Consider the following 8,706-nt stretch of genomic DNA (forward strand, 5'->3'; position numbering starts at 1 on the left):
TTAGATAAAGAAAAAGTGATACACACACACACGCACACGCACACACACAGACACACACACATCATGGAACACTACCCAGCCATAAAAAGAATGAAATAATGTCTTTTGCAGCAACATGGATGGAACTGGAGGCCATTATCTTAAGTAAAATACTTACAAACAGAAAGTCACATATCACACGTTCTCACTTGTAAGTAGGAGCTGAATAATGTGCACACATAAACATAGAGAGTGGAGCGATAGATGTAGGAGACTCAGAAAGGTGAGAGGGTGGGAGGTGGGTGAGGGATAGAAATTACCTAATGGGTACAATGTACACTATTCAGGTGATGGGTCCACTAAAAGCCCAGACTTCACTGCTATGCAATATATCCATGTAACAAAACTGCACTTGTATCCTCTACATTTATAAAAAGAAAAAACAGAGATGAAATAAAGACTCTTTCAGTCATACAAAGTCTGAAAGAACTCATCAACAATAGACCTACACTACAAGAAAATGAAGTAAACAGTTAGAGGGCATAAAATTGGAAGGAATAGAACGTCCATGTATATGGCTTAAACATTACGATTAGATGACAAAGAGTTTTGAATTGTGTCCCCAAACAAAGTCCAACTAGTGTTGTTTAGGAGACTTTGTCATGGTTTAAAAAGAGGTCAATAAATTAATTATCGAATATTCCTCCCCAAAAGATGTAACCTGGTCAGGTGCAGTGGCTCACACCAGTAATCTTAAGACTTTGGGAAGCTGAGGTGGGAGGGTAACTTGAGCCCAGGAGTTTGAGACCAGCCTGGACAACATGCCGAAACACCATCTTTACAAAAAATACAAAAATTAGCTGGGCATGGGGACACATACCTGTAGTCCTAGCTAATCAGGAGGCTGAGGTGGGAGGATCACCTGACCCAGGAGGTTGAGGCTGTGGTGAGCCGTGATCATGCCACTTCACTCCAGCCTGGGTGACAAAGCAAGATCCAGTCTCAAAAACCAAAAAAAGAGGTAGCCTAATTTCCCTCCCTTTAAGTGAGTACTTAATGACTTGTTTCTAATGAGTAGAATGTGGCAGGAGTGATGATGTGTAACTTTTGAAACAAGATTATAAAAGGCATTATGGTTTCCTCCTTTCTCACTCTCTTGGATCCATCCCTTGAGTAGGAGTCACCTGCCATGTCATGAGGACACACTTAAGCACTCCTACAGAGAGGTCTGCATGGCAAGGGACTGAGACATTCTTACAGCAACCAGCACTGACTGATCAAGTATGTGAGGGGAGCCATCTTGAAAGCAGATTATTCATCCCCAGTCCAGCCTTCAGATGACTCCAGCTCTGGGTAACATCTTAACCATAACCATGATCATGAGATGCCTTGAGCTAGAACCATCCAATAAGCCATCCCTAGATTCCTGACACACTGAAATCATGAAATAATAAATGTATATTACTTAAGCCACTAAGTTTTGGGGTAATTTGTTATGTAGCTTTAGATAGTGAATAAAAAGTTAAAATCTCAAACAAAATGATATGCTAAACCTCTTAGAATGCCTAACAGCATAGCAGGGAGATGCAGACAAAATATTATTGGGATTGTGATGTTGATATTAGTTGATGTAGACTTCAAGTCTTGATGCATACCAAACTTCCCTTCATATCTGAATCTGGAGAGGAGATTTAAACATCACTATGTGGGCAGATGTTAGGTATAATTCATCATAGCCCAAGATAGAAACATTTATACAGAGAAAATGGGCTGGCATTCAGATTTCTCAGAAGACTTGCTTACTGCTGCTCCAGGGTAAGAAGGGACATGAGTACAGAGAAGGCTAGGTAAAGGTGTGCTACTTATTACTAGCTAGGGGGAAAATGGATCATTTTTCTTTTATAAAAACTGACATTTAAAATGAAGCTATCAATGTCATGAGCTTTGATATAACAAAAATGCCTTGAAAAAGTATGTAAAGCACAATCTTTTAGAAATACATGGAGAATTGACAAGAAATACAACATTAGTATAAACTTCACCCAATTCAAGAGGCAACTGGAATGATCTACAAATAGTTGGACTTGGAATTACTTGCTGTTCCAACAGTTTATTAAATGAAACATTGCCTAGAGGTTTGACCACTGAAGAAGTTGGCTGAGTCCAAGGCCAGGACCCAGTGCTCCCAGAGGCTTCCTCCAGGGGTGCAGCTACCTCAAATACACAGCTGCCTTGGCCCAATCCTAAGTGTCTGCAAGCGCTTTGGCAAAAGAGGTTTTTGGAAGTCTCCCAGGTAAGCATGAGAGCTTGCCTGCCTCAACAATCATTACATGGATGCTCCTTCTTTGCTTTGTCTTCAGCAGCTATGTTGGTTCAATCCTTCTGTTTGGGTGAACTTGGCCAGCTTGCTTTAAGCATCTCACCAAACTCCTGCCGTAAATATAAGAGTGTCTATAAAATATTTTCAATGGTGAAAAACAACTGATGAAGCTAAGTGATGGGTAAATGGATTGTGCTAGCCTTCCAGCGTCTTTTATAGGTTTGAAATTTTAAAAACTAAAATGTTAAGCAGGGGTGGGGGATGCCACGTATTAAAGAAATAACATTAATCCAAGATGTGGGGGAGGTGGATAGGTGAGGGTAGCATTGAAATGAGTGGGTACTTGCCAAAGCTCTGTGGTGAATGCATAGGAATTCATTATGCTTTCCTCTCTACCCCTGTACACGTTCAAGATTTTTCACAATGAAACACTAAAAGAAAATCAATTGTAGATATAGTATGATTCCATTTCAGAAAAAACAAAGATAGAGAGAAAGCAGATATGCTTAAATGTATATGTGAGGGATAGGAGGGCTGGCACACAGCGTGCTATTAGCACTGGTTAGAGAGGATTCGCTGTGTCATTATACCTATTTATAATGCATTGTTTGACTTATTATATAATATGCATGTATTATTGTTATAATTTTCAAAGTGTAAAAAAGAATTTTAAAAATGATACCATAAAGGGAAATAGACTTAAATGCCTTCAAGCCTTAGGAAGATATTGAGGTGTGACAAAGTCTGGGAATTTAGAGAACTGTAGCAAACAGGAACAAACCAGTTTCATTAAAAAGAAATTCACTCTGTATGTCCAACCAGACACCTCCAGTTTTCAACCTCCGAACAGACCCTTTCTCAATATCCCCTTCATAGATAACTTAACAGTCTAACAGTCTACTGAGCTGAAATGACCTCTTTGCAATCCCTGCCACTCGTATTCAGGAACCAGAAACCAGTTCTTGCTGCTTTCTCACAGACTTCAACATACTTACTTCAGACTTTGACATTTTCTAAGACATTGATTCCAGCAGAGACAAACCTGAATAGACCAATAATTGTGGAAGAGTTTGGGAATATTGTCAAAGAATGTCTGTCCCAAAATATACTAGGCTATTTTATTGATCATTTAGACCAATCCCTCCAAGAACAGATGATGCTTTGGTTCACATGAATTGCCTGGGGGCCTAGATAAAATTGGAAATCCTCTCAACACATTTTGTATAGCTTTGAAAACCCTCACAGAGCACAGAAAAGGAAACTACTTGGCCACCCTTGATTATAAATAGGCAAGTATGAACAAGTTGAACCGATACCATATTAAAAGAATAATGCACCATGGCCAAGGACAACTGTCTTTCCAGGCATACAGCAGCAGGGACTCTAATAGAACATGTGTTTTTGCATTAATAGGTTAAAGGAGGCAACCCATTACATAATTTAAATTAAAGTAGGGAAGCTGCCTCTGTGATTGTGTGTAGGTGACTGTTCAGCATCAGAACCTCTTCTTATGTCTATGGAATTCCATACCTTGTGAGTAATGTACGGTGTGAGAGAGAAGATGGAAGTAGAAATTATCTGTTCTTTCAGCTTCTTCTGCATCCAGGGCATGGGTACATCTCCTAGGTTTGGCCAATCATACTGACACCAAATTTGAATAAAAATTAAATAGGTAAGCAAAGAAGTCAGGCCAGCAGCAGCATCATGTCCATGCTCTTGGGTGGCAGCACAGCTGTGCCCCCAGAAGAATCCAGGGTCATCTGGTATGCGGAAGTGATCTCACTGGTTTCATGGATGATGTGGCTGTCATCCTGATTGATGTCTCCCCTTTCTGAGGACTTTGCCAGCCTGATTCCCCATCTTCCATGGGAATGATCTGGGCCCCCCAGGTTCCAGTTTACAAATTCCCTTTCTGATTAGATCTGCTATTCAGTTCTTTCACTTGGAACTGAGATCCTTGAATCATAGAGGCTGAAAAGGGATGATAAAATTAATCAGCCTTCTTAAATTTAAAAATAAATAAAAGTAAGCTTTTAGAAAACCAAAAATAAAAAGTGGCTTGCTTAATGCAATACATACCTACTACCTATATTCTACTTAGTAGTGAAACACTAAAAATAGTTCTATTAAAATCAGGGCAAAGACCATGGCTGCTGTCACTACAGTTGTTAACATGTTTGAGAGAATCAATGCAATAAGAAATAAAGAGAAAATAATGGGAATACTGAAAAAGAAAAGAAAGTCATCATTATTTGCAGGTGATATGATTTTATCTGGAAAAGCCAACAGAATTAACTAAAAAATCATAAGATCAAACAGATAGTTAAAAACATTAACCTGTTAAAAAGTAAATAGTAACAAGTCAACTAATTTTTCTTTTTTTTTCTTTCTTCTTTTTTTGAGAGACGTCTCACTCTTGTCCCCCCAGGCTGGAGTGCAATGGCGCAATCTTGGCTCACTGCAACCTCCGTCTCCCGGGTTCAAATGATTCTCCTGCCTCAGCCTCCCAAGTAGCTGGGATTACAGGTGCCTGCCAGCATGCCCAGCTAATTTTTGTATTTTTAGTAGAGACAGGGTGTCACCATGTTGGCCAGGCTGGTCTCATACTCCTGACCTCAGGTGATCTGCCCACCTCGGCCTCGCAAAGTGCTCACAGGTGTGAGCCACTGCACCCGGCCAAGTCAATGAATTTTTCTACACATCAGCAGTGACCAGTTTGTGCTAGAATGGAAAAATAATACCCAGAAATATTTCCTGGAAGATAATTCCTACAATTACTGTTGTTGGGAAATACATATATATAAGATCTATATTAAAATCTACAAACCTATAATATATAAATGTAAAATTGAGAAACAATGTAGATAATGGTTGATATTTATTGAGGAATTATTGAATAAATAACAAGACATATCCATGGATGTAAAATTTAATATCATAAACATGCCACTTCTTTCTAAACTAATCTATATTTTAAATTCCAGTGAGAACATGAGTGGAATGAAATATTTTTAGAGAACGTGACAAAACTATTTTCAAGTTCATAACTGTGAATGAGTGCCCAATAAGAGCCAAGAGAATCTTACACAATGAAGAGGGCTTGTTCTGTGAGCTATCACATCATCTTATAAAGCCAGGAAGAGTAAAACAAGGTGGGAATATGACCAGAATAAACAGAAAAATAATAGAACAGAAAAGAAAGTTCAGAAACAGAGTCCAGTGCACACAGAATATAGCAATTACAATGTAGCACAGAAAAGGATTTCTCCATCTAGGCCAACATATGAGATTGTAACATGGTAAATTTGTCAAATGCAACTACAGCCATACTTGCATGAAATTTATAGAATTAAATGCATATATTAGAAAAGAAGAAAGACTGAAAAACAATAATCTAAGCATCCATCTAAAAATTAGTAAAAGAACAGCAAATTAAACCCATAAGCAGGAAAAAAATGAAATAAAATAGGTAAGTGTAAAAAGTATGACATCATCATCATTATCATGTAGAAAAATGTGAAGGATTATCAATTCCAAAAGTTGGTTCCTTGAAAATACTACTGAAATTGATAAACTTCTGGCAAGATGATCAAGAACCAGAGAGGAAGAAAACATACATCATTCATATAAGGAATGAACAAAGGGACATCTCACAAATATTAAAATGACAGAACGAAAATATTATCAACAAAGAGAACATTGCCTGATTCATATTGTAAAGCCAGCTAAACTTTGATAATGCAATCTGATAAAAAAATAAAATCTTACTCCATGCTAGTAATATGTAAAAAGAAATAATACTAACCTTTTGATTTATTCTTAGAAAGTAAGGCTGATTTAACATTCAAAAATAAACTACCAAATTCACACACAAAAAAGAAAACCTTATATAATAACCTCAATGAAATAGAGAAAGCATTTAATAAAATTCATCATCCTTTTATTGAGGGGGAAAAGACTCTCAGTATATTAGGGAGAGAGGAGAATTAACTCCTTAACCTAGAGTATCTGCAAAAACCTATAGCAGATCTCTGAACAGTCAAATGGTAAAATGTTGGAAGCTTTCTGAGACTGGGAACCAGATAAAGATTTCTGCCTACTTGACTTTTATTCAATATTGTGCTGGAGGTCTTAGTGTAATTAGACAAGAAAAAGAAATGAAAGATAAAGGATTAAAAAGGTAGAAAGAAAACCCGCATTTTTCTCAGATGGTAAGATTGTGTATTTGTAATTACCTTAAAAAATACCAATAAATCATTATAATTAATACATGAATTACCAAGGTCTGTGGAAACCAGATTAAAAAAAATTCAACTTTATTTCTATATACCAGCAACAAACAATTAGACATTAAAAAATTTTTAATATTTTATTTAAAATAATATCAAAACATCTGACATATAAAAATAAAACTAACAAAAGATAAGGAAAAGTTCTTCACAGAATCTAAAGCACTATTGGGGGAATTAAATACTTTGAGGAGGTATATGAGCATTCAGTATAGCAAAAATTTCAGTATGCCCTGAAACTAATATAAGATTCAATGTAATCCCAATCAATATTTAAATGTTTGGGGGAGGGGGGTTGAAGAGGATTCTTTAATTTACATGGAAATGGAAAACATCACAAATAGAAGAAAGAAACCTTCCACTATATTTAGTAGTATAGACCTATACTACTACCTATATGATACTATCATGACTAGTAAACATACAGTAATTATTATGATTTTTCCTTTCTAGCACAAACTGGTCACTGCTGATATACAGTGACAGAAAAAGACTTGGTGGGGGCATCCCAGATGCTGGCAATGTTTTATTTCTTGGGCTGGATGGTGTTTTTATGAATGTGTTCACATGGTGATAATTCACTGAACGGCATCTTTTATGAAAAAGTAGGAAAGTGATTTGTCAACCGATTAAGTTATAAAATTTGGTTAAGTTCTAGCAGAAAAGGTTAGATACGATTTCACACCATATAGTAAGATTAAGTTATAATATCTGGTTCCATTCTAGAGGAAAGGTTAGATATTAATAGCATTTCATGCCATATATTAAAATAAATTCCAATAAGCTAAGTAACTAAATGTAAAAAATAGCACAATTTAAAGTTCAAGAAGAAAATATGGGAGAATATACAACCTTGGGGAGCAGGAAGAAGACGAGAAATTGAAGGTGATTTGACTTATGATCCTCAGTGCACAACACTGAAAAACAAAAAGATTTCTGGAAGTGTATACAAATTTTTTAATGATGATATATAAAACATCCAAATACTAATGATAAACTGGGAAAATATACTACATGAACAGTCTAGGAATCAATGTGTTTACTAATAAGATTTTTTTAAAGATGAGACTCGAGAGACTTAGACTTAGCAGGTGAATGACAATTGAAAGAATCCACTGGGAAGAGGAATTTTACATGGAGTAAGTTTCCTGAGGCTGTTGGTGGCCCATCTTATAATTAACATAGGACTATTTAAAATATATAAAAGAAGACTCATTAAATTGTAAAACCATTACATTTTTATTTGTTCTTCAGCATTGCTAAACATTGTATTCAAGTCTTATTCAAAACAAAAAGTAAATCTTACCTTTTCCAAGAAGAGCAACCTTTCTCTCTCCCACACACAGTGGTGGTCTCCCTGTGATGAGAGAAGACAAAAACCAGGTCCCGGGTCGTTCTGTCCCTCCTCAGAAGATGCCCCTCTCTGAAGGAAAGGGAACGTCTGTAGGAGATGTGTCTACCTGGGACCAGTCTGATGCCCATTGGAAGCTCACTCTCTGTTTACAAGACCCTGCACAGCCACCTCTGGGTCCGAGTGGCCTCTTCCCAGACTTCTTCCTCCTGTGAGTGGGCTCAGTAGTTCTGAGCCACCCTTAAGGTGGAGGTCAAAGGTGACTGTTTTGGGGGTTGCACAGAGCTTGGACCTGCAGGAGAGGTCCCTTCAGTGTGGGATGGAGCCCAAGGCCAGAAGAGAAGGAGGGCAGGCTGAGAGTGAAGCCAGGGCCAGCCATTCCTGCACCTAGCTTGTTCAGCTCAGAACTTCCCAGGAATTTGATTTCCAAATTGGTTTTCCAAGTCTTAGGAAGGCATATTTGTTCATCAGGAGGATTGAACATATTTTACATAACAGTTAACTTGAATTCTAATTTTAAATTGTTTATGCACACAATATGTGAGTGTCCATTTGAAGTCTGCCCTGCCCTTCATTTATTATAGGGGGCCAGATTGCTCCCAAAAACCCAGGTGATAGAATGAGCTTGGAATAGATGAGGGAGTACCTTTTCACTGTTGAAGGACAGAGAGAGAGAGAGAAAGAGAGAGAGAGAGAGAATATGAAGCATCCATGGCTGTAAGTCAAGAACCTTGTAGGTGTCATGATAGAAATTGAGAGAGGTCCTA

The sequence above is a fragment of the Homo sapiens genome, chromosome 7 (assembly GCF_000001405.40).
Source record: "Homo sapiens chromosome 7, GRCh38.p14 Primary Assembly".
Lineage (NCBI taxonomy): Eukaryota > Metazoa > Chordata > Mammalia > Primates > Hominidae > Homo > Homo sapiens.